Source organism: Homo sapiens, chromosome 14 (assembly GCF_000001405.40).
Source record: "Homo sapiens chromosome 14, GRCh38.p14 Primary Assembly".
NCBI lineage: Eukaryota > Metazoa > Chordata > Mammalia > Primates > Hominidae > Homo > Homo sapiens.
Window position 1 is genome coordinate 64151870 of NC_000014.9, and position 27057 is coordinate 64178926.

Consider the following 27057-nt stretch of genomic DNA (forward strand, 5'->3'; position numbering starts at 1 on the left):
ATCCTGAGAAGGACAAATAAGCAGCTCCGACCGTCCTTCCTCTGAGTAGAGTGGCACCATTGCTGCTGGCCTCATTCATCTCTGTTTTCAGACTGCTGGCCCCATGGTGTCCTTTGTAGTAGAGGGATCCTGTAGGTTTTTAAAAATGTATCTATAAAGAGTAGACCAGGTCAGGGTGCCTCTTATGAGTGAATTAATAAACTAAGAGGTAGAAAATGATTAAAGTTATTACTGAACTACCAACAGTTATATCGTCTGTCATTTATATGATGCTATATGGTTTAAAGGCACCTTCTTGCTCGTGATTTTATTTGAGTTCTTAGCTTGGCACACATGCTGTGGGTATCATCACTTTTTCCAAATGAGAAAATGGAGACTGAAAGGTTCGATGACTTATGCCTGGTCAAACAGCCAGTGCAGGGCAGACGTGGAATGGGGACCAGATCTCGGACCAGCATCCTTTCTGCTCTGCCATGATGGTTCAGACGTGTTGCCTAGATTCTCCTAAAATACAGAGTTGTGTCATATGTAATTGAACTAAGAGTATTATGATTTAAATTTCTTTGATGTAATGCTATTTAATTATATAATCTAATGACATTTTTACTTGAAAAGAGTGAACTCCTGTCTCTGACACCTTATTAATTGTTTTGTAATATTGTGCATTGAAAACCTTTTCCTCTTACTCTTCCAGGATATAGAAAATCAACTTGCAATTAAATCCAAAGCACTAGATGAGTTGAAACAAAGTTATCTGACTTTGGAGAGTGGGGCAGTGCCATTGTTAGAAGATACAGCATCCCGAATTGATGAGTTATTTCAAAAGAGAAGCAGTGTTCTCACTCAGGTACTAGAATTCATTTGAAATGTGCTATTTCTCTTCACATATTCTTTTACCTTATTTGTCGTTGTAGTTGTTTTCGTCCTTTACTCATGGAGACTCTCTATACCAAACACTGAAAAGTTGCTGAGAAAAATTGAAGTAAATTAGAAGCATTTCAAGTCCCATTTTATGCACTCAATAATTAGAGGCAAAGCCACCAATTCCAACGTCATTGACAGGCTGCAAATCCACTTGGTTATCTTTGTTTTGTCTAATGTACTCACTCAGACATAAATATCTCCATACCCCAAACCCAACAGAGTATCTGGCATTGTTTCCTGGCAAGATATACAGAAACAGTGATGAAGCAGTGTCTCCATGTACAGGGAGATGCCTCAGGGAGGAAGTGATCCTGTATCATGTAGCCTCTATGAGCTAGGAGCATAGTCAGCTCCAGGAGGACTCTAAAGTTTGGAAGAAACACTACATGGTGTTGAAGAGAGAGTATAAAGGAAGAAAGGGTGCAAGACATCTAATAATCTTACAAAAGGCATGTCAATGTCAGCATTTTACCCCTTCCAGGAGGAGAGCACCAAAAGAGAGCGAGCTCAGGCATCTCTAGACATTGCAACCTTGACATTTTCCCACAACAGAGGAAGAGAACTAAAAATACTAACCAATTATACCAATCAATTGGTATAATCTATCAATGGTATAATCTATACCATCAATTATAGATATGTCCATGTTTCCTAGAGAACCTTCATTGTGGGTTGTCACCTACTAAAATCTACTTTCAACCATTTGTACCAAGAGGGAATAGGGAATAACCTGCATGAAATCCATAGGCAACACTCAGCCTCATTCCTCAGTCCTCATTCCCCCAGGAATGTAGCAGAAAAATAGAGATGAGCTTATTCAGTCATTTGTTAAGCATACATTGTGTGAGGTACTGTGCTCACTGCCAGGGTTACAAAGGTAAACAAGAAAATAAATGAATCCTACCCTCAAAGAACTCATAGGCTAGTGGAAGAAACACATGTAAACAGATAATTACAATATAATAAAAATATAAAGAGAAAATTAAATGAAATAATGCATGTGAAAACATGCAGATAGTACTGTCATAAGGATAGACATATATATACTTGGAATGGAATTGAGAGTCCAGAAATAAGCCCTCACATTTGTAGTCAATTGATTTTCAACAAGGATCCTCAGACAATTTAATGAGGGAAAACACTTTCTTGAAAAATGGTGCTGGGACAACCATGTATCCACATGTAAAATAATGAAGTTAGACCTCTGCATTCATACAATATACAAAAATTAAAATAGATCAAAGACATAAATGCAGGCCAGACATGGTGGCTTATGCCTGTAATCCCAACACTTTGGGAGACTGAGGTGGGAGATCATTTGAGGCAAGGAATTCAAGACCAGCCTGGGCAACATAGCAAGACCCCCATTTGTATTAAAAAAAAAAAAAAAGACACAAGTATTAGAGCTAAAAGTATAAAACTTAGAAGAAAACACAGGTGTAAATCTTCATGACTTCATGGATTAGGCAGGGGTTACCTAGAATGACACCAAAATCGTAAGCTATCAAAGAAAAAAATAGATACATTGGACTTCATCAAAACTAAACACCTTGATGTTTTAAAGCACAGCATCAAAAAAGTAAAGGCAAACCACAAATTGTTAAAAAAAGTATTTATAAATCATATATTTGATAAGGGACTTACACCTAGAATATATGAAGATTTATCACAACTTGATAATAAAAGGAAAAATGACCAAATGGAAAAAATGGATACAAGCCAGGCTCAGTGGCTCACGCCTGTAATCCCAGCACTTTGGGAGGCCAAGGTGGGCAGATCGCTTGAATTCAGCAGTTTAAGACCAGCCTGGCCAACATGGCAAAACCCTATCTCTACCAAAAATAGAAAAAATTAGCTGGGTGTGGTGGTGTGTGCCTGTAGTCCAGCTACTTAGGAGGCTGAGGCACGAGGATCACCTGAGCCTGGGAGGTGGAAGGAGCAGTAAGGCAAGACTATGCCACTGCACTCCAGCCTGGGCAACACAGTGAGACCCTGTCTCAAAAAAAAAAAAAAAAAAAAGACAAATGATCTGAATAAACATTTCTGTAAAGAAGACAATACAAATGGCCGAAAAGTGCATTGAAAAGATATTCCATGTCATTAACCATCAAGGAAATGAAAATCAACACCACAAAGAAGTACCACTTCCCACCCACTAGGATAGCTGTAACAAAAAGACAGACAGTAACAAGTGTTAATGTGGATGTGGAGACGTAACCCTCACAAACTGCTGGCCGGGTTCCATGGAGTTGGAAAAGAGTCTGGCAGTTCCTCAAATGGTTAAACATAAAGTTACCATGCAACTTAGCAGTTCTACTCCTCCATAGATAGCCCAAGAGAAATGAAAACGTGTCCACGCCAAAAACTTATACGTGAATATTCATAGCATGATTCATGATAGCCAGAAAGTGTAAACAACCCAACTGTCCATCTACTAATGAATGTATAAAGAAAACGTGGTCTATCCATACAAAAGGAATGAAGTAGTACATACATATATATATATATACTACAACACTGATGATCTTGGAAACATTATGGTGAGTGAAAGACGCCAGTCACAAAAGGTCACATATTGTTTGATTCTGTTTACGTGGAATAACCAGAATGGACAATTCTATAAAGACAGAAGGCAGATTAGTGGCTGGGGAGAACGAGGAGTGACTGCTAATAGTTATGCAGTTTCTTTTCAGAGTCATGAAAATGTTCTAAAATTGATTATGGAGATTACACATTTTAAATAGATGAATCGTATGGTACATGAATTATATTTCAATAAAGTAAAAAAAAAAAAAACGCAGAAGGCGTGAGGCACAGATCATCCATCTATAAGCTGTCAAGAGTCAATGTAGGCCTGGCCCAGTGGCTCAAACCTGTAATGTCAGCACTTTGGGTGGCTGAGGTAGGAGGATCGCTTGAGGCCAGGAGTTCAAGAACAGCCTGTGCAACAGAGTGAGATCCCATCTCCACAAAAAGTAAATAAAGTTAGCCGGATGTGGTGGCATGCACCTGTAATCCCAGCTATTCGGGAGGCCGAGATGGGAGGATTACTTGAGCCCAGGGGTAAACAAGAGTCAATACAACCTAGTGTTTAAGAGCAAGGGCTTTGCAGTTTCTGCCTAAATAAGGATCCTGGCGGCACCATTTTTGATCTGTATCTTCGGTCAGGTTACTTAACCTCTCTAAGCCTCGATTTTCTGGTCTATAAAATGGGGATGATAACACCTAGTCATTTATTTCTATCTTAATACTGATGCCTATACAATGCTCAATAAATGCTGCCCTGCTGATGACCCCAGTTGGAACATTTTGAAAATATTCCTCCCGCTTGTTTTTAGTATAGTGAATTTTACTTGATGATTTTCTCATCCTTTCCCTCAAACCTCATGTACTGTGTCTTTTCCATGAAGCTTTATTATAAGGCCAGAAGGCCTTTAAGGTGCTAGAAGTTCCACCACCTTTATCTGTGGAAGCTGCAAAGGCCTTGTGCAACATGAGCCATGGCAGTTCTTGTGTTGACATGTATATATGGGCTCTGGGATGATGCGGTACTTTGTGCCAGAATTATCCCTGCCACCCAGATAGATGTGAGATCATTTCTAGCAAAAATGTACATCGATGAGGAATTCCTTCCTTGCCTTTCTTCTTTATTTTCTTTTTTCTTTCCTTTTTTTTTTTTGTGGAGACAGAGTTTTGCTCTTGTTGCCCAGGCTGGAGGGCAGTGGCATGATCTCAGCTCACTGCAACTTCCACCTTCCAGGTTCAAAAGATTCTCCTGCCTCAGCCTCCCTAGTAGCTGGGATTACAGGCGTGTGCCACCACTCCCGGCTAATTTTTGTATTATTAGTAGAGACAGGGTTTCACCATGTTGACCAGGCTGGTCTTGAACTCCTGACCTTAGGTGATCCAACCACCTTGGCCTCCCAAAGTGCTGGGATTACAGGCGTGAGCCACCACACCTGGCCGCCTTCTTTATTTTCTTAACTAAATAACTTGGTTTCTTTTCCTTAGCCATCCTGCCCTTGTAAAGACATTCAGTCCACATAGTTGCCAACATGAGACTCACATTTTAGCGTCCCACTTTGGTTTTTTATCCAGCCCTGTTTGGGGCAGAGATTGAGGAGCCTCCCTGTCACTGTGGATGTGCCAGCATTCCTTGTAGTTATTAAACAGAAAACAGGGTCTGAGTGCAGAGCTGTGTGATTGTACCCAAAACTCACATCACACTACCCATAAAGATGGCCTGTGGAGCCACTATAGTGATCACATTCCATTTCAACCCAGATCCTTTTTAAAAATTGAGATATAATTCACATACCATAAAATTCACCTTCTAAGGTATAGTTCAGTGATGTTTAGTATATTAACAGAGATACACAGCCATCACCACTATCTCATTACAGAACATTTTCATTACCTCAAAAAGAAACCTCCATACCCATTGGCAGTCACTCCCCACTTTTCCCCTTCTCCAGTCCCTGGCAGCCACTAGTCTACCTTCTTATGGATTTACCTATTCTGGACGTTTTATATAAATAGAATCATATGCTATATAGCCTTTTGGGTCTGGCTTCCTTCACTAAGCATAATGTTTTCAAGATCATCGGTGTTGTAGTATTTACAGTACTTCATTTATTTTTATGGCTAATATTCCATTGTATGGATATACCATATTTAGTTTACCTCTCCATCAGTTGATGAACATGTGGGTTGTTTCCATTTTTAGGCTCTCATGAATCGTGCTGCTATGAACATTTGTGTCAGGTTTTTATGTGAACATACGCTTTTAATTCTCTTGTGTGTATAAGAGTACAATTGTTAGGTCATATGGCAACTCTATTTAATTTTTTGAGGAACTATCTAGCTGTTTTCCACAGTGACTGTACCATTTTACATTCCCACCAGCAATGTATGAGGATTCCAGTTTTTCCACATCGTCACCAACACATTATTATCTGACTTTTTGATTATGGCCATCAAAGTGGATGTGAAATAATATCTCATTGTGGTTTTGATTTAGGTTTCCTTAATGACTGTATATGTTCAGTGTCTTTTCATATGTTTATTGACCATTATATATGTTCTTTGGGGAAATGTTTAGTCACTTCCTTTGCCCAGTTTTTAGTTAGTTTATCTGTCTTTAATATTGATTTGTAAGTTTTCTTTACATACTCTTGATTGTATCTGAGATCATTTTGGATATGCAACAGAATGCTTGGACTTTTTTCATCATTATCAGAACATACCAGTGGACAAAATACATTCACCATTGCTTGCCTCCTGCTTTGCACTTGCCCATCATTTTGGTAGAGCATGTTCCTCTCCAATTGGTGCTTGCTCTGTAGTAATAATCAGACTTAAGTGCCAGGTAACATCTTACATTTATAATGTTGTGCTGTTGTCAGAGCATTTTCACAGACACTATTTTATTTGTGTTTTCAATTATTATCTCTGTTTTGTGGATGAGGAAACTGACTCTAGGGTCCAATAAGTTGCCCAAGGTCAGAAAGCTAATAGAATATAACTGAACCTTGCACTCACAAATTCTAATACTCACCCAGTGTTCTTTCCCTGGGCTGTCTCTTCCTAGTCTGAACTCCTTCAGTGCTGATCCTTCTGATCTTTGGGCTCTTTTTCATTCACTCATTATAAAACAGCCTTCTCTGATATGTTCTTATGCATTGACCTACCCTTTCCACCTTCAGTTAATCACTGGTGATCCTTCAATACTCTCAAATTGAAATGCCTAAATTGGACACAATGGTAGATCTGTTGGAGAGCATGTCTTCTCAGTGATTTTCTAAATCAGTACGTTTCCACTTTTTGTCTAGGTCAATCAGCTCAAAACCTCCATGCAGTCAGTTTTACAGGAGTGGAAGATTTATGATCAACTCTATGATGAAGTGAATATGATGACAATCCGATTCTGGTACTGCATGGAACACAGCAAGCCTGTGGTGTTATCATTGGAGACCTTGAGATGCCAGGTGGAGAACCTTCAGGTAAATTAACCAGAGCTTGGCATGGTGCATTATTGGCAGGAAATTACAAATGGGAGGAAGCACAGTAACGGGCATAACTGTGTTTGTGCCCTCCCACAGAGAAGCACAAAGCATGTTAAATAGCAGTTTCAAAAGAATAACTGGAAATTCCAAAATAAGTCACATGAGCCAAATCAGTAAAACATTGTAAAATGTTTGAATTTTGAGTTGAAAATGTTGAATCTTCCTTTATTTTCCATGTCCATATTATTTCACAATTTAAGGTTTTGGTTTTTGAGTGGCCTTTTTTTTTTCAGTATGCCTAAGTGCTAAGTACTTTATATTACTTAGTACTTAAAAGTTCAGCCTCAAATAAAGAATGCCTTCTCCATTGTTTTCTTCACATTCCTAATAGTTTATCAGAGCTGTAAGATTTGAGTGTTATTGCTACATAGTAGCAAGTGTTGAGAAGCTGCCACCTTCTTTGGAAGTAGCCAGGCCATTCTGAAACTTAAATTTCTTGTTTGTGTCTCTTAGTCTCTGCAAGATGAAGCTGAGAGCAGTGAAGGGAGTTGGGAGAAACTCCAGGAGGTTATCGGCAAACTCAAAGGTCTCTGCCCCTCTGTTGCTGAAATAATCGAAGAGAAATGCCAAAATACTCATAAAAGGTATGCTTTCAGATATAATTTGAATGATAGATATCTTTATCTTAATGACTTGTGAAGAATGAGGGGGCATAGGCATTGTAAAGTCTTCTTCCTCCTCTGAGATGACTGGTTTCCTACTGTTCTGGTCTCTTCTGCTTTGATGAATCTAGTCTATGTAAGATTCTATGTCATGAGGGCTGTGACATCCCTTGTACAAGTGTTTGGTATAATTAGTCTAGAAATGGCCTAATAACAACCCCAGTGTACTCACTTACAGACAGTATAGACCAAATGTCAAGTTCGATCTCGGAAACACCAAAGTCAGAGGCAGAAACAGACAAAGGAGTGGGCCAGATGGGCATCCTGCAGGGGGTGTTCAAACATCACTGGAAACATTATAAGGTGGAAGAAAGGGGATGTTAGAGTATCTGTTGCGGAGGGCATTTGTGGGTTTGGAAGGAATTCTTTGATGAACTACTTATGGTGGGATATGAAAGCTCCCTTTAAGGAGTGTGGCCCTAGTTAATTGCAGGGCTTTTATTTTGATGAGTGGGATATAAAAGTTGGCCTCCAACCAATTGATTAGAGATAGGGATGAAGAGTTATGCTATCTTAAGTGTCCTTCCTGATTATTCCTGTATGCAGTTTCAGCCTCTCTTGTAAATCAACTTCGAACAAGTAATGAACAAGGGACCCCAAATTATATACCCTGCAGTGGTGCCCTTAGCTCTTGATCCAGTCTTTATTGGAAGACGGGGAGGAGACAGACTAAGAGGAACCTGCAAATGCATCTGACTCCACATACAATATCAGGGCTACCGTCAAAACGTATGGCAGGGCAGTCTGTTGGTAAAGGAACTCAGTTGTTACGCTGCACGTACACATTCACTTGTTGGCACAAGAATATGTTGGAAGGCATGTTGAAAAACATGCATAACAAAAAGACTGAAGAGAAGAACACTAAAATGCTAATAGTAGTTACCTCTAGATAAATGAGATGTCAAGCATTTTTTAACTTCCTCATGGATTGGTAAGTAGGTAGGATAGATAGATAAAAAGAAAAATATCTGGAGGGATTTTGTTTGCTTTTTGACAGTGAATATATGTTGTATTTATAATTAGGGAAAATCTTATTTTAAAAGACAGTTCTGATAAGATTTTTGAAATGCATAAAAGTAAAGCAGTGTGCTATTTTCCACCTTTGATTCTTTAATCAGCAGGGTCGAGGATATTGTTGAGGATATTGTGGAGCAAACATTCTCATGTATTTCATGTTAGAATGTAAATATAATGCTTTCAGAAAGGAGATTGACCATTTATTCCCAAAGCCTTACAAATATTTACATCTTTATATTCTTTGACTCTGTAATTCTCCCAGAAATCTAGTCTAAGACTAATATCTTGAAATACAGAAAAAAAGCCTTTTGAATAAAACTGTATCTGAGCATTATCATAATAGCAAAAATTACAAATATCTTAACTATCCATACTAAACAGGAATTAAACTAAGGAATTTAGCAATTAAACTAAGGAAACAAAGAAAAAAAAACCCACAGACCATTTGTACAGCCACTTAAAATGAGGTTTACTTATTTTCTTTTATTACTAACGTGGGGAAAATATTTTTTAAAAGTTAAATGGGCCAGGCATAGTGGCTCATGCCTGTAATCCCAGCACTTTGGGAGGCCGAGGTGGGTAGATCACTTGAGTCCAGGAGTTCAAGACCAGCCTGGGTAGCATGGTGAAACCCCATCTCTACAAAAAAACAAAAATTAGCCAGGCGTGGTGGCATGCACCTGTGGTCCTAGCTACTTGTGGGGGCTGAGATGGGAGGATCACTTAAGCCCAGGAGGTCAAGGCTACAGTGAGCTGAGATTGCACCACTGCACTCCAGCCTGGGCAACAGAGCAAGACCCTGTTTCAGAAAAAAAAAAAAAGTAGGGAAGAAAGGCAAGATACTAGAGTCTGTATATGGAATAATAAAACAATTTCCTTTATTTCCACTTCTATGTAAGGAACATTTGTGTAAACAGATAATAAATTTTATTTGATATAAATACAAAGTTAAAACCTGTTTAAAGATAGCATATCTCTATAAACTGGGAGCCTCTTCATGTGGAGTCATTTTATCAGGCATACAGTTCAGTGTTTTCTCCATCTTTGCCAAAGAGACATTCATAGGCGGGGCGCACCATGGCTCACACCTATAATCCCAACACTTTGGGAGGCTGAGGCAGGAGGATTGCTTGAGGTTGGAGGATTACTTGAGCTGCAGAGTTTGAGACCATCCTGGGCAACATATCAAGGCCCTGTCTCTACAAAAAAAAAAAAAAAAAAGTTTGAGCTCCCTTCATCACTCCCCTCTCTTAAAAAAAGAGAGTGAAACATTCATAACATCATAGGTATTTGTTGCCAATCATACATTTTGTAGTTTTTGTGCAATATTATAAAGTCAAGTAAATAGCCTAATTTGGATTTATTTTTATATAATGGTTTCTATAATGGTGATGCCACTAATTTTAAAAACCATTTAACAGTGTCTTCTTAATGATCCATCTGCTAGTAACTTACCAGTAGAGTGTGTGCATTGTACTTTCGCTACAAGAGAAAGGAGAGAATGAGGGTTATGTTATTTGCGTTGCACTGACAGGTGGACTCAGGTGAACCAAGCCATTGCAGACCAGTTGCAGAAGGCCCAGAGTCTGCTCCAGCTCTGGAAGGCCTATAGCAATGCTCATGGTGAAGCTGCCGCAAGGCTGAAGCAGCAGGAAGCAAAGTTTCAACAGCTCGCAAACATCAGCATGTCTGGAAACAACCTGGCAGAGATCCTGCCCCCAGCCCTGCAGGACATAAAGGTGGGTACAAAGCCCATTTGGAAAACCAAGGCCAAGTCAGCCCAACAGATGGGGTAAGGGACAGCCATGACCTGGGGACCAGACAGACCACAGGGACAGAGTAGTCAGGACAGGTGCTGTGAACTTGCCATGTAGGACATAGGCAAGGCTGGGAGGACCAGGTGGTGGCTCAGAGGTGACGTCTAGGCAGCAAATAGCTGGATCAGGGGGACTCGATATCACCTCGTTCCAAGTCTGTGCTTTCTCTCTAGTGTTACATCTCTAAGGCAAAAGCTTCATATGAAATCTGAAGTAAAAGCAAGTGTCTCAACTGAGTGTGACCCTGTAAGAATAATACATGTTGTATCTCTTGTTTTAGCAGTAATCATGGACTTGGTGCCATGTTGCTAGGCCTTTTCTGTGGGTATAGTAAATTTCAGACTACATTAAAGACTTGCTTAGTTTCCTCTATGGTGTTTTTTCTATTATTGTTAATGAACGCTCAGAAAGTGAATACTCTTTAGTTCTGAACTGAGTGAACAGATGCATTTTGTATCTTCTGCTACTGTAGGTCAAATCAAAACGTGGCAACCAATTTAATTAGGTGAGAATCCAACAGATAATGCTCTGTACATCTGATTAACTTCTACCTGAGCTGATAATTTAAAAATAAAAAAACAAATTTTATGTACACAATATTTCCAGAATAGCCTTAAAATCAGCCTGATTAATAAAATTCTATAGTTTCTGCACGTGAATCCATTTATATCAGAAAGTCTCAGGCAGGGGTCAGAGTTGCATTGATTCTTGAAACAGCATGAAAGCAGATACCTAAACTGTTTGACAACTGAAATATAAAGTACATGAGTACTCAGGTTGTCTCCAGTTTCTATACACTAGAAGCCTCGACTCTATTAGTCAGTGGTCACTTTTAGTTTTGAACTGACAAATTTCGGAAAAGCGCCAGTGATATACATCATTTCAAGAAAGCCCAGCCTTTTCAGCTATTTAAAATAAATAATAACAAAAGATCATGCCTACGTTTTCAGGGCAAATATTCTCCTAGATTTTGATGGAGCAGCAGCGGGTAGGGAATTGTGGTTTGAAAGGAGGAAGAGGTGTTTGCCATCCCTTTTTCTTCTGCAGGAGCTGCAGCATGATGTGCAGAAAACAAAAGAAGCCTTTCTCCAAAATTCCAGTGTCCTGGATCGACTCCCACAACCCGCAGAGTCCAGCACCCACATGCTCCTCCCGGGCCCCCTGCACTCTCTCCAGAGGGCTGCTTATTTGGAAAAGATGCTGCTTGTGAAAGCAAATGAATTTGAGGTTCATCTTTTCTTTCCATTCAAGTTTTAGTCTTAGACATTTGCATTCCATCCTCAATCCCTTGTATCCTTTGAAGCAGTAGTGCTTTACGGGCTGCTCCTTAGCAAAATTACAGACTGAAGCTGCTCCCAAATGTATACGATTCTAGCTTCAATCACATGGGCAGATCTTAAGCAATCATTTCTTCCTTATTGAAGATGTTAGTTCTAGAAGTCATATATGTATTATATTGCATACATTGTTCAGATCTCACAGTTATTTGGATTTCTGAGTCAAGTAATTGAGCCATAGAAGTAGCTGCTTAAAGCATGATGATTTGTCATATCTTCGTGTCTTCATTCACTTTTTTTTATTTTGAGACAGACTCTTGACCTGACACCCAGGCTAGAGTGCAGTGGCATAATCTTGGCTCACTGCAACCTCCACCTCCCGGGTTCAAGCGATTCTCCTGCCTCAGCCTCCCGGATAGCTGGGACTACAGGCACCCACCACCACGCCTGGCTTGCTTATTTATTTATTTATTTATTTATTTATTTATTTATTTATTTTGAGATGTCTCGTTCTGTCGCCCAGGCTGGAGTACAGTGGTGTGATCTCAGCTCACTGCAAGCTCCGCCTCCTGGGTTTATGCCATTCTCCTGCCTCAGCCTCCCGAGTAGCTGGGACTACAGGTGCCTGCCACCATGCCTGGCTAATTTTTTTGTATTTTTAGTAGAGACAGGGTTTCACCATGTTAGCCAGGATGGTCTCAATCTCCTGACCTCGTGATCCACCTGCCTTGGCCTCCCAAAATGCTGGGATTACAGACGTGAGCCACTGTGTCTGGCCGGCTAATTTTTGTATAATTAGTAGAGATGGGGTTTCGCCACATTGGCCAGGCTGGTCTTGAACTCCTGGCCTCAAGTGATCTACCCACCTTGGCCTCCCAAAGTGCTGGGATTACAAGCATGAGCCACTGCTCTCAGCCTTCATTCACTTTTTATAAAGCCTTTAGTGCAGGAGCTGTCAACAAGCTACACAGAAGGCCATGGAGTTGCAGTATCACATCTCAGTACCAGCAGGAAAACAAACAAACAAAAAAGCACATTTAACTAGTGGGACTGAGAGAACGGAGTGCTCACTGACTCTCTATGTGGTCTCCTCAGGCGGGTGATCTGTCCATTTGGGAAGGCTCAAAGGCACGAGTGAAAAATCAGGGGGCTTCTGAATATTTATCTATGATTCTTGAGATAATAGTGAACTTCTGGGTGTTGAAAACAACTTGAATTTACTTTTTTTTATTTTTTGTTTTTTTTTGTTTGTTTGTTTGTTTGTTTGAGACAGGGAGACAGGGTCTTATTCTGTCACCCAGGCTGGCGTGCAGTGGCATAATTACAGCTTACTGCAGCCTTGACCTCCCAGGTTCAGTTGATCCTCCTGCCTCAGCCTCCCAAAAAGCTGGGACCACAGGCTCACACCACTATGCCCAGCTAATTTTTTATTTTTTGCAGAGATGGAGTCTGCCTATGTTGCTCAGGCTGGTCTTGAACTCCTGGGCTCAAGCAATCTTCCCACCTCGGCCTCCCAAAGTGCTGGGATTACAGCCATGAGCCACCGTGCCTAGCCAAAAACATCTTGAATTTTTAGCAGCTCCCAAGCCTGTGTTTAATTCTGTTTTATATGTACATGAAAATAGTTTCTAATGAAAATTTCTCTTGTTCTAGTTTGTTCTCTCACAGTTTAAGGATTTTGGAGTCCGGCTGGAATCTTTAAAAGGTCTTATTATGCATGAAGAAGAGAATTTGGATAGACTTCACCAACAGGAAAAAGAAAATCCTGACTCATTCCTGGTATTGCCAATATTTGTCTTTTCTAAGGGCTTAGACTCACCATAAGGTTAAAAAAAATAAGCTGATTACTGTGAACTTATGGAATGCTTGCATCCTAACTCACTCTTATTTTTTTTTTTTGAGACGGACTCTCGCTCTGTCACCCAGGCTGGAGTGCAGTGGCACGATCTCGGCTCACTGCAACCTCCACCTCCCGGGTTCAAGCCATTCTCCTGCCTCAGCCTCCCAAGTAGCTGGGACTACAGACATGTGCCACCATGTCCGGCTAATTTTTGTATTTTTTAGTAGAGATGAAGTTTTACCATATTGGCCAAGCTGGTCTTGAACTCTTGACGTCAGGTGATCCGCCTGCCTCGGCCTCCCAAAGTGCTGGGATTACAGGCCTGAGCCACTGCGCCTGGCCTAACTCACCCTTGAGCACAGTCATTTTTATGCCATTCATTACTGTCCTATTTTCCCTCAGGCCTAGAAAAAGTAGGATGACATAGGGATCTCTTTTAGTAATACGTCAGAGTAATTTGTAGTAGATGTTTTTTCATAATTACCGTCAGTGAACTGAAATAATCTAGAAATTGGCTGTTGTGATTAATTGAATTTTTCTGGTTAGTTTAATATAAAAAAAATTCTATTATGCATTTTTCTTTACCTTCGTAAGTTTAGTTTAGTAAACATAAATGACTGAAAGAATTAGATCTGGTCTTGTAACTCTCCTAGGAATCAATATTCATAACTTAGATCAGCAGTCAACAAACTGTGGTGCACTGTCCATCACTGATTTTTTTTTAAATAAAATTTTGATGGAACACAGCCATGCCCTTTCATTTACATATTGTCTATTATAGTTTTCACGCTACAAGGGCAGAGTTGACTAGTTGCTACAGAGACCATATGGCCCACAAATGCCTAAAATATTTATGATCTGCCCTTTTACAGAAAAAGTTTGCTTATCCTGACCTAGAATATTACAGCAGAGTTCTGTAGTGGTAACTTCAATATTGTTAAGGATGTTTGCTTGTCAGCTTAGAAGCTGTCGCTGGAATATCTTTTTAAAAATGAAATTTTGATAAGTTTGCTTTCTTGCAATGTCATGTTCTATCAAAATATGGGTGTTTAAGTCCCTTGCTCTGCTAGAGTTATTTTAAGAATCAAATTTTCATCACTCTGTGCTTGACCTGTTTGTTGAAGGCCAGGTTATTGGCAGACTAAATGGGACTTAAAAGCCCAGAATTGGTCCTTTTTTAAAAAGCATGTTAGGCTGGGTGCAGTGGCTCACGCCTGTAATCCCAGCACTTTGGGAGGCCGAGGCAGGTGGATCATCCAAGGTCAGAGTTTTAGACCAGCTGGCCAACATGGTGAAACTAAAAATACAAAAATTAGCCAGGTGTGGTGGCAGGCACTTGTAATTCCACCTACTTGGGAGGCTGAAGCAGGAGAATCGTTTGAACCCAGGAGGCGGAGGTTGCAGTGAGCCGAGATCATGATACTGCAGTCCAGCCTGGGCGACAGAATGAGACTCCATTCCGAAAAATAAAAAATAAAAAAGCCTATTTTCTGTATTCTTCGGTGACAAAATCTGAGATAACTTTCTATTTCCTGGGCTGTTTGGGTGCTGGCCGTGTTGCAGGTTGGTATTCTAGAAGGCACAGCATTGAGATAGCTGAATTCAGGTCCCACTCTAACATTAGCAAGCTGTTTGACTGTGGGCAAGTCATTTGCCTGTTCAGGCCCCAGTTTTCCTTTATCTTTGAGGTAAGGAGGGTTTTTTGTCATCTAGATATCTTATTGGCATCCAAAAACCTGTACTTCAATTTTTTAAAAATAGAATCATGTGCTGGCACTGACAGCCCAATCACCTGATATTGAACATTTGAATGAAGTGAGCCTCAAGCTCCCACTTAGTGACGTAGCTGTGAAGACGTTACAAAATATGAACCGGCAATGGATTCGGGCCACGGCCACGGCACTGGAGCGCTGCAGGTTAGAACATCCCTTCTCTGTCGTTGTTTCAATTAAGGTAAAATTAACGGCTTCAGCTCGGGAATGGCATTGTTAACATGGGTGTGTTTTGTTTTAAACCTTTGTAGTGAGCTTCAGGGAATTGGATTGAATGAAAAGTTTCTTTATTGCTGTGAAAAGTGGATCCAACTTTTGGAGAAGATAGAAGAAGCACTCAAAGTGGATGTGGCTAACAGCCTTCCTGAGCTCCTGGAGCAGCAGAAAACCTATAAGGTAAACCTGTGTTCTCTGCCACCCTTGAACCGCTCATCTGGGGCAGGAGTCAGGGAAAGATAGCTTTAAATAAAACACAGGGAGTGTACCTATCAGTCCCTAAACACAGAATGTATACCTTTAAGCAAATTCAGTTGTCAATTGGTCATTTGTAAAATTCTTGTACGTTTCATAAATTTCAACATTTACTGCTCTATTTTATTAGGGAGAGGACTCCTAGATTTTCTGCAGTACATGGAAGCTTCTAGTACAACTTTGCTTCCACAAAATGCAAACATTATACCATTCTATCAAGAGTATAATAAAATACTTCGACTCATGTTTGTATTTTCACTCAATAATTCTCCATAGTATTAAAGCACCTGGTATAATTATAACTGTAGCGTTAATAATTTCACAGGAGTTTCCTCAGTGCTTATGCTGACATGTATTTGAAAATACTCCTGGTGGTTATAGGCAGATCCTGCTTTTTTTGGTGGGGGGAGACAGAGTCTTCCTCTGTCACCCAGGCTGGAGTGCAGTGGCGCAATCTCGGCTCACTGAAACTTCCACCCCCCAGGCTCAAGCAATTCTCGTGCCTTACCCTTCCGAGTAGCTGGGACTATAGGCATGTGCCACTGCACCTGGCTAATTTTTGTATTTTTAGTAGAGATGGGGTTCACCATGTTGGCCAGGCTGGTCTCGAACTTCTGACCTCAAGTGATCCGCCTGCCTCGGCCTCCCAAAGTGCTGGGATTACAAAGGACACATTTCAAAAGTGTGCAGAATTACTTCACTGCAACTTTTTAATGTAACTGATTGAAGTCTACATTGCTACATTAAGATCATCCAATTAAAATGAAATCACCCCTGCCAAAAAGCTGAGTGGCCTTAAGTAAGTTACTGAACCTCTTTATACCTTAGATTCCTCCTCTTCAAATGGATGTAATAATAGTGCTTAAATCCTAAGGCTGAGAAATAAATGAGACAATGCATGTTTTACAGTGCCTACCAAATCGTAAATGCCCAACAAATGGGTATTAGATGTAATTATTATTAGACCTGTTTGCTTTTAAGAATATATTCGTAGGTGATGTTGATATGATAGTTGAACATTTTTTGCAGTAGGTTCAAATAATATGAAAATTAATTATCCCTCATATCCTTTGTAAGCTTAGATTTTAATAGGAAATGTAGGTTCCGAGATTCATAAAATGAATTTTACTAGCTGATATTTTCTGCTTGGACTCATATACAGATGTTAGAAGCTGAAGTTTCTATAAACCAGACAATTGCTGATTCCTATGTCACCCAGTCCTTACAACTCCTGGACACAACAGAAATAGAGAACAGGTGAGCTGTCTGGGCCTCATGAAGGTTGTGGGCGGATGGAAGGTAATGCATTCAGTCAGGGCAGGCTTTCCACCATGTGAACCTTGACCATGTTGGTGCCCTGTGCCCTGTTGGTTGACAGATCACCATAGGACCAGGCTTCTAACTATGTAGTGGGACTAGATCTTGCTGGGTGACCATAAAAACATCTGTGACAGACACCTTTTCCGTATGGTAGGTGGATGGGGTTAGCAGCCCAGAAGCTTTGGAAAATGCCCACTTCTCAAGTATAGTTAACTAAGTTTGTGCCCCCAAATGATTCTTCTGTACTGTTTCCTTCTCTACCATCATCCTCATGATGTTTTGCGACTTAAAAAATAATTTCTAAAAAATGATTATTCCTAATGTTCCCAGTAGGTAGCTAAATCCTATAAGTCTGAAAGAAGGGCTTTCTCTCCATGCTACATATGTGGGCTTAGGGTCACTGGGCAGTGCCAATCAGGCTGAACAGAGCACCTTTGGCCAGTCTGCTAATGCTGAGTGAGTCTGCTCATGCAGCTGTACACATGGCAGATAGCCTGGAAATGGCCTGGCCATTTAAATACTTCTCTAAATGTCCTAATGGGTATGATTTTTCTTCCACATCACCACCCATACACCTCTGAATCTTCTTTCAGCATAACTAAGAAATGTAAAGCCCTTTTCTCCCTAGCTCTGAAGCAGTAAATGCAAGCCAGTTCCAGGATGATAAGCTAATTTCTATTTGATCTGTACAGAAAAACATGACTTTCCCATAATAAACAAGAGGCCTTATTTCTCGTGTGAAGGATATTATTTATCCAGAAAAGAACTGTTGAGTAGCTGCAATAAAGCATGCTCTTTATTGCTAAAATTATGTAAAGTACACTCAAGTAATCCATAGTGTTACAAAGTACCTGCCTGTTCATCTGTTTCCCTTTGATCCAGTTTCTAGTTTTCCTTTCCACGTTTGGCCTAATGTATATTAAAACAGCTTCAGTTTGTTTAAGGGAATGGTTATGCATGCTGGCAAAATACCAGGTTACGTGCAGATACCTTCTGCTAAACTCAGTCTGCATGCTGCCCTTCCCAAAGCCTTAATCATGTTTAAATTGAATAGCACTCAGGTGTTTAGAAGTTGGGATTTTTTTCATGTAAATTGTACTTATAAAAACTGAATCTGAGCTGCTATTACCCACTGATAGTTATTTTTTCTACATGTCGATGTCTGGATTCTATAACCATTTGTTTTTCCCCAGACCAGAATTTATTACAGAATTCTCAAAGCTGACGGATCGGTGGCAGAATGCTGTCCAGGGTGTTCGGCAGAGGAAGGGTGACGTTGATGGGCTGGTGAGGCAGTGGCAAGATTTCACTACTTCTGTGGAGAACTTGTTTCGCTTCCTCACTGACACCAGCCACCTGCTATCTGCAGTGAAGGGCCAGGAGCGCTTCAGCCTCTACCAAACCAGAAGTCTGATCCATGAGCTGAAGGTAGTGTATGCATCGTAGCAGTGTGAGAACCACAGGGTGGTCATTGTTTGCAAGATGTTCATTCACCTTTGGTTTAATGTTTTTGATGATGATGTGATCCAAGTGGGCTCTCTGCAGTGTGAGGCCAGCAAGGTGCAGTCACCACCCCCCACAGCCCAGTCCCTAGCATTGTGGGGTTGGAAACCCGATATTACCCATTCATCCAGAAATACTAGGGTTCTCTTGGGCCATGAGAGGAGGCATGGAGTGGAGATGGGTGAATAAATTGGGGGAGGTTTAGGGCAACAGACTCAAACCACCCAGATTCTTAAGCCACTGACTAATGTATAAATTGACCATTAGTGTAGTAATGTACAGTGATGGCATTGTTTACTCTTGAAGGGCAAATTCAATGGGTACAAAAAAAATAGAATGAATAAGACCTACTATTTGATAGCACAGTAGGGTGACTATAGTCGATAATAATTTAATTATATATTTTTAAATAACTTAAGGAGTGTAATTGGATTATTTGTAACTCAAAGGATAAATGCTTGAGGGGATGGAAACCCCGTTCTCCATGATGTGCTTATTGGACATTGCATGCCTATATTTAAAAACCTCATGCACTCACAAAATTTTAAAAACTGATTTAAAAAAAATAAAAATAAAGGGGCAAATTCATTCAGCCAACAAAGCTTTCCAAAAGAAACTTGCCTGATGAGCACAGGATTAGCATAGGTGGTTGGCATGTCCCATGGAGCTGTAGAGCTACTCTCCACCTTAGAGAAGCCTCTCAACAAACACCACCCTCCTGAAATCCTGTACAGCCCTCACTCATTATGCAATCATCGCATATTAATTGAGTACCTTCTCTGTGCCAATCACTGTCCTAAGTGCTGGGTGTATTCTGTGGATGGAGAGAAGACCTTCGCTCTCATAAGGGCAGACAAAGTAGTAAACCAGAATAATTAATCAGATAAATTAATAAATAATAAAATATCAGATTGTAATAAGACTTACGTAGATCATTAAAACAGGGCCAGTAGAGATGGGGATGTGTGGCTCCTTTAGATTGGGTTGTCTCTGGCCATGTGACATTTAACCTGGGACTGAATGATGAGAAGGAGCCAGCCATGCAAGATCTAAGGAAAGAGCCTTTCAGACTGAAGGAGAGGCTTACTCCAAGTCCCCAAGATGAGAACAAGCTCAGCACAGAGGAACGGCAAAAAGGCCAGTGTGACTGGCGCAGAGCTGGCAAGGCAGTAGTGGCAGGAGGTGAACTAGAAAGGCGGGTAGGGAGGAGTGTTTTGCAGGTTGGGTGTGGCAGCTGGATTACCTGGTCTGGCTGGAACCAGGGAGCCTTTGAAGCATTTCAGCTGAGGGAGAGGGCAGCATGACACTGTTTGCTTGTTTTTCTTTTTTTTGGGACGGAGTCTCACTCTGTCGCCCAGGCTGGAGTGCAGTGTTGCGATCTTGGCTCACTGCAACCTCTGCCTCCCAGGTTGAAGCAATTCTCGTGTCTCAGCCTCCCAAGTAGCTGGGATTACAGGCGCCCGCCACCATGCCCAGCTAATTTTTGTGTTTTTAGTAGAGACAAGGTTTCACCCTGTTGGCCAGGCTGGTCTCGAACTCCTGACCTCAGGTGATCCACCCACCTCAGCTTCCCAAAGTGCTGGGATTACAGGCGTGAGCCACTGTGCCCAGCCCCATATTTTTTAAAGATCACTCTGGCTGTTCCTGATTGTAGGGGAGCTAAAGGAAAAGTAGGAATCCTAACATCTCACTTACCTATCGCTGCATAATGACACTCATCATTCTGTCTCGTCATTCTTGGGGTTGACAGGAGTTGGTGGTTCCTGCTTGGGGTCTCTCAGGCAGTTGCAGTCAGATGGTGGCTGGGGCTGGTGTCATCTGAAGCTCACTCACATGACTGATGCTTAGGCTGGAACAACTGGAGCAGCAAGGAGCTGGGACAGTGGAGCTCCTCTCCTTGGGCATCATTCTCTGTTGTGTTACCACGTGAGGGCTTCCAGTGGCCAGACTTCTTATATGGTACCCCAATGGTTTCAAAGATTCTTATCCCGAGAACAAGCTGTATTGCCCTATAAACCCAACCTCAGAAGTCACATATATCGCTTCTGCCACACTCTAACAATGAAGGCTATCATATGTGTCCACATGAGTTTGAGAGGAGGGGACAGAGGTGCCACAGTTTGATGAGAATTGGCTGAAATCCCAACACTTTGGGAGGCCGAGGTGGGAGGATCCCTTGAGCCCAGTTTGAGACCAGCCTGTGTACAACATAGTGAGACCCCTGTCTCTACAAAAAAATTCAAAATTTAGCCAGGTGTGGTGGTGCACGCCTGTACTCCCAGCTGCTCAGGAGGCTGAGGCAGGAGGGTCACACTTGAGCCCGGGAGGTTGAGGCTGCAACGAGCCATGGTCACACCACTGCACTCCAGCCTGGGTAACAGAGCAAGACCTGTCTGGAAAAAAAAAAAAAGGTTATCTTTGGAATTTCAGTGATCGCTGGAGGCAGTCATCTTGAAAGAGCCTATTTGGGTGTGGTTACATCTGGGTCTTCTTTTCTGCAATAAGATAATGAGGTAACAGGGAGGGAAAGAAAAAACAATCATTCTCCTTGGTGAGTCCGGGTCTTAGGCAGATAAAGGACTTCAGCTTCTGTAGGAGACGCAGTGCGTTAGGGTAGAGAGACCCTGAGACTTCTTCAGTTCAGCGTGTCAAAACACCGTATTTTGGAGTGTCGGTTTGTGAGTCTGGTAAAGGAAAAGCTAGATGAAGGACGACTCTGGGTTGAAGCTCAAGCATCTTGGTGAATAGTGTGCTGTTGACAGAGTTAGGGAAGACTAAGGGAGGAGCAGGTCTAATACGAGTGGCTCATTTGCGCAGCACAATATGTTGGAGAGATGCACGTGGAGTGCCTGTGGTCCAGTTGCTGTTTCTCTTATTTGTGTGCTGCTCCTGAGGGTGCATTTGGCTTTCCTCCTTTGGGTATGGGTGATCTTCAGGCTTCTCAGAAATGCCTTTGTAAATTAGTGATGCTCTGTTGATGTTTATCAGCTCCCATTTTGGAAAAATGCCCACACTTTGTCTCCTTCAAGAAATTTCAAGGTGAAGGAAATAATATTTATGTATTATTTATTTATTTACTTATTTTTTTAGAGATAGGTACTCACTCTGTCTCCCAGGCTGGAGTGCAGTGGCGTGATCATAGCTCACTGTAACCTCAAACTTCTGGTGAGGCTACCTCGGCCACCCGAGTAGCTGGGACCACAGGCACTCACCAGAATGCCCAGCCAGGAAAACATATTTAGAACAGACAAAAACTATTTAATTTTTCCTCTAAAACCAAATGCCTTTGGGAGTATGGATCAATTTTAAAGTTTTTACTTTATTTTTGTATTATAAATACCTAGTTTCAATCTCTTTAAAGAACGCCCATGTAGCCAGGTGTGGTGGCGCATCTCTTAAAAAACAGGACCTTCGCTACTCTCTGCACACTGCCTGCGGAGCGGCCCTGCTCTGCAGGAGCAGTCACGGAGCTGTAACACCGCCACTAAAATATAGAAAAAAATAAAAATAAACAAGACCTTGTCTCTTAAATTTTTTTTTTTTTTTTTCCTTGAGACAAAGCGTCACTCTGTCACCCAGGCTGGAGTGCAGTGGTGTGATCTTGGCTCACTGCAATCTCTGCCTCCCAGGTTAAAGTGATTCTTGGGACTCAGCCTCCCAAGTAGCTGGAATTACAGGCATCCACCACCATGCCTGGCTAATTTTTGTATTTTTAGTAGAGTCAGGGTTTCTCCATGTTGGCCAGGCTGGTCTCGAACCCCTGAGCTCAACTGATCTGCCTGTCTTGGCCTCCCAAAGTGCTGGGATTACAGGCATGAGCCATCACTTCGGGTCTAAAACTATTGTTTTTAAATTGTTTTTAATTTTCAGAAAGCCTACATGATATTCGGATGAAATTTTTTAAAGCTGCGCCTTTGGGGCACACATCAATGTACATGTTTATGTGCTCATAAAAAGCTTAAGAAATGTATATTTTTTGTATTTTACCCTTTCTCGCGTTCTTTCCTTTTACATTTGTTTAGCGTAATATAAGGTCTGTTACTTGATTTCAGGTCTGTTACTCCATTCACTTTCTTAATACTCTTAGATCCATTTACCTTGCAGGCTATTATTCTATGATGTATATTTTTTTATTTCTCTGTGCTGCTAATCATTACACTGAGAATCTTATCTCACCAATCTTTGGAAATTATTTTAAGAACACCTCACTTAGTGGTATGCTTATCTACTCAGTGTAAAACATTAGCTTTTGATGTGTGTGTGTATGTACATTCTGACCCAATTTGTCTAATTTATATCTAGTTTAACTCTTAAGAAAAGCTCTGAAGGAAATATACACAGGCACACACAATCACATTTTGAACACATCAGAAACCTAAGCAAATTACTTCTCTTTTTTTTCTTAGAATAAAGAAATTCATTTTCAAAGGAGGCGAACTACCTGTGCCCTAACCTTGGAAGCTGGAGAAAAGTTACTGCTCACAACTGACCTGAAAACTAAAGAGTCTGTGGGTAGGAGAATCAGTCAACTTCAGGACAGCTGGAAAGACATGGAGCCCCAGCTGGCAGAGATGATTAAGCAGTTCCAGAGCACTGTAGAGGTAAACTCACCACTTACTTTTCCATTCATGATATTCAAATTCAGTACATAGATTTTCATTTGTGGTGTGAAAATGGAAATGGTTTTAGGAAACTATAGTATCATGAGTTTCCAACTCAAGCTGTAATCTGTAAGTCATGCCAGTTACTTAATGTGAAATGATGATATAGCATTGCAAGAGCTCAATGTTTAGTATTTAAATACTTGAGATTCTATTAAGATACTTACTTTTATGAAACAGGAAACATATTCAATGAAAGTTCAATACATAAAACTAATGTTCCATGTATGGAACAGACAGAAACACTTCATTTTTCTGCTATCATCAGAGAATGCACTTTTCCATATAAGTGAATTTTCCAAATAATGTATGATTATACCTTTAAGAACTACAGTGTTATATTTTGAGTCACTGTTAGGAAAATCATTATTGTTTTGTTATGCTAAGATACCAAGTTGTTCTCAAGGCCTCTGAATTACTTTGAACCTGTGGCCCTCCCTGAACTACTGTGCTCTTTGAGTTCTGATATGGTTTTTATCATTTTTCTTTCTCTCCTCTTAATGTCAAACTGTCTATTTTTACTTTGTCTTTCTCCAAGCTCACTTACTTCTTATAGCCCACTCTCTCTAGTCTGTCGTGTGTGCCAAAACTAGATAACCAAACTTACCAGACATATTTTTCTGAATTAAGAGTAAATATATGCTGAGTTAGGGCTTGAAAATTTCTCCTGTGAATAAAGTATCTGAATTTTATTTGATATATGGACTATATGGAATTCATTAACTAGCAAACATTTGTTAAGCATCTGCCATGTTTGTGAAGCATAATGATAATTGCAAATAACAGTTTGAAGAACTCATGGTTTTGCTTCTCCTTTGCTTTCTTTTGAGTTGAGTTCCAGATAGTTAATATTGCTACACAAGTGGCCTCCCTTCAGTGAGAGGTTACCATAGACTGAGGCCAACCCAAGTATGTTTAGGTATCAGCTGTACTGAATAATAGTGTTTCATTGTAGGTTTGTATAGTTTTAGTAACTTCAGGAAAGAAGTTTATCCTAATGAATCGAATATAAATACCCTATAGTTGAAAATGCAGGCACCTATTTTGTTCAACAGTTAAAATTTGAAGAAAAGAGATGGTTGACCCTTGACTTGGCTTTTAACCCCAGATCCACGGGCTAGTCATTTTTCTCTGAGCCTTAGTTTTCCCATTTTAAATATGATAATACTTGTTTTAAATATGATAATACTTTCCTTGTCTATCTCCTAAGGTTATTATAATTACAATGAGTTAATAAAGTTGAAAATGCTTTGTAAACAGGAAAGTGCTTTAAGCAGAAGGTGGTAGTCAGCACAGTGGTGAGAAGTGGAAAGTGAAGGTTGAATGTGAAAAGGTCACTAAAGCCAGGCTGTAGAAAGGAGAAGACAGCCAGCAGAGGAGAGGGGTGACGGTGGAAAAGAAGACAAGGAAGGTGGCTGAGTGCTTGTGTTCTGTGGTGCTGTCATAGCATATACCAAAGACTGTCAATGCTAACAGTTACTCCGTACAGTAGCCTTTTAGGTGTGAACTTTTCCAAAATTAAAGTAGAAATCACATTGGTTAGATGAGAGGGATTGGGGAGAGAGGAAGAACTTTTTTATTTTTATTTATTTATTTATTTATTTATTTATTTATTTTAAGATGGAGTCTTGCTCTGTCACCCAGGCTGGAGTGCAGTGGTGCAATCTTGGCTCACTGCAGCCTCCACCTCCCAGGTTCAAGCAATTCTCCTGTCTCAGCCTCCCAAGTAGCTGGGATTACAGGCACATACCACCACACCCAGCTAATTTTTGTATTTTTAGTGGAGACGGAGTTTCGCCATGTTGGCCAGGCTGGTCTCAAACTCCTGACCTCAGGTGATCCACCCGCCTCAGCCTCCCAAAGTGCTGGGATTACAGGCTTGAGCCACCATGCCCAGCCCGGAAGAACTATTTTCAAGCAAAGCCTAGCCTGGTGGTTGAAATGAGCCACAGGTAAAGCTGCAAGGAGGGTCGAGTCATATTGGTGTTCCTTCTGCTTTTGGAGACCATAGTCTGCTTAAGACAGGGAACTGGGTGTCTGTGTGATTTATTAAAAACAAACTTAATAGAAAGATTATGTGGATTAAATGAGCTATTCTATTTCTACAATTCATTCTAAAGAGCAAAATACTTACCAGTTTTAATCTTGTTTTCAAATAGACCTGGGACCAGTGTGAAAAGAAAATCAAGGAGTTGAAAAGCAGGCTGCAAGTTTTAAAGGCACAAAGTGAAGATCCTCTTCCAGAGCTTCACGAGGACCTCCATAACGAAAAAGAGCTGATTAAGGTATTGAAATCCAAACAAGTGGCCAAGATAATCACTTAGCTGTTTTCTGAGTACTTTGAAGTGCTTCTTTGCCTCTTTCTGTATTGAAACTGAGTTTTCATTTTCAATCAGAAAATATTTTCCCGATCTGTCTAACATAACATGCTCGTCTCTTAAGGAATTAGAATTGATGCTTTTTACGATTGTTGTTTGAAGACGAGAAAGACTTTTGCAAAAACTCACTTCTTAGGATCTTAGGGGTTTTCTCCTTCAGGTCTTCTTTCTGTCTGCTCCTCCTCTGTAATATAAGATGTGGCCTCTGAGATTCCTGTAAAAGCTGTTCCCTTATCAAATGTCCTCTTCTTTGAAACAAGAGTAAAATATGACTAAAGAATTCATTTTTGAAAGCCAGTAGGTTGGAGTTTGCTCCAGTATAGCATTTTTATAAAACCATCCAAACTATATATTCTTCCTAATGAATACCACACTAGCAAAACTTCCTGGATATTTTAGGCCTTTGCTGGAGACAAGGCAAACTTATGGATAGGAATTGGGGCCAGGAAAATTCCCAGGTCAGCAACTCCCTGCATCTCTTTTCTGTCTGCAGCTTTGATGTTTAAAAGACATTGAGAGACTGTTGGAGTGGTATTTTAATTTTTTTCTTCCTTCAGTGACTTTCGGGGATCAAATTGAAAAAATTAGGAAGAAATGAATAGTGTTATACTTCAAATTAGGCCAGAAATTAGTGTCTTTCTCCCTACATCTTTTTTCTTTGTTGTAAAAATGTCTGATGTGCTAAAAGGCATAACAAATAATATGACAAACTGCCATGACACCATCACCTAGCTAAAAAATTAAAAAGTATACACACAGTTCAAGTGTCCTGTATGATCTAACTTCTCCTTAGAGGTGTCAGTAACCCTGGATTTGGTGTTCATCATTCTTACACATGTCCTAATAATTTTAATACATGTGTTTGTAGGTGTCAGTGTTGTTTGTTCGTTTGTTTTTAAGAGACAGGGTCTGGCTCTGTCTTCCAGGCTAGAGTGCAGTGGCACAGTCTCAGCTCACTACAACCTCCAACTTCCAAGCTCAAGCGATCCTCCTACCTCAGCCCCCCCGAGTAGCCCAGAGTACAGGCATGCACCGCCATGCCCGGCTAATTTTTCTATTTTTTGTAGAGACAGGGTTTTGCCATGTTGCCCAGACTGGTCTCCAACTCCTGGGCTCAAGCAATTCTCCTGCCTTGGCCTCCCAAAGTGACAGCAGGCGCCCAGCCTGCTGTCAATGAGATGTAGAATTGCTTTCTGTTTTTAAACGTTATATGGCTAGGCATGGTGGCTCACAACTATAATCCCAGCACTTTGGGAGGCTGCAGCGGGAGGATCCCTTGAGTCCAGCAGTTTGAAAGTAGCCTGAGCAACAAAGTGAGATCCCCATATGTACAGCAAAAAATTTTTTTTA

The 27057-nt window shown here is 40.7% G+C and overlaps 1 protein-coding gene across 28 annotated transcripts in view; it reads left to right on the plus strand.

Moving 5' to 3' along the window:
* The window catches only part of SYNE2 (spectrin repeat containing nuclear envelope protein 2), a 464854-nt gene that overhangs the window by 390274 nt on the left and 47523 nt on the right, over nucleotides 1-27057 (plus strand). For all 28 annotated transcript variants that reach the window (XM_047431152.1, XM_011536576.3, XM_047431149.1 and 25 more), the window contains 12 exons: nucleotides 695-847; nucleotides 6756-6926; nucleotides 7443-7573; nucleotides 10203-10407; nucleotides 11533-11712; nucleotides 13416-13541; nucleotides 15364-15518; nucleotides 15626-15770; nucleotides 17008-17102; nucleotides 18359-18593; nucleotides 23075-23269; nucleotides 25489-25614. In XM_047431152.1, the coding sequence (XP_047287108.1) occupies nucleotides 695-847; nucleotides 6756-6926; nucleotides 7443-7573; nucleotides 10203-10407; nucleotides 11533-11712; nucleotides 13416-13541; nucleotides 15364-15518; nucleotides 15626-15770; nucleotides 17008-17102; nucleotides 18359-18593; nucleotides 23075-23269; nucleotides 25489-25614 (1917 nt within the window). The remainder of the gene's footprint in view (nucleotides 1-694; nucleotides 848-6755; nucleotides 6927-7442; nucleotides 7574-10202; nucleotides 10408-11532; nucleotides 11713-13415; nucleotides 13542-15363; nucleotides 15519-15625; nucleotides 15771-17007; nucleotides 17103-18358; nucleotides 18594-23074; nucleotides 23270-25488; nucleotides 25615-27057) is intronic.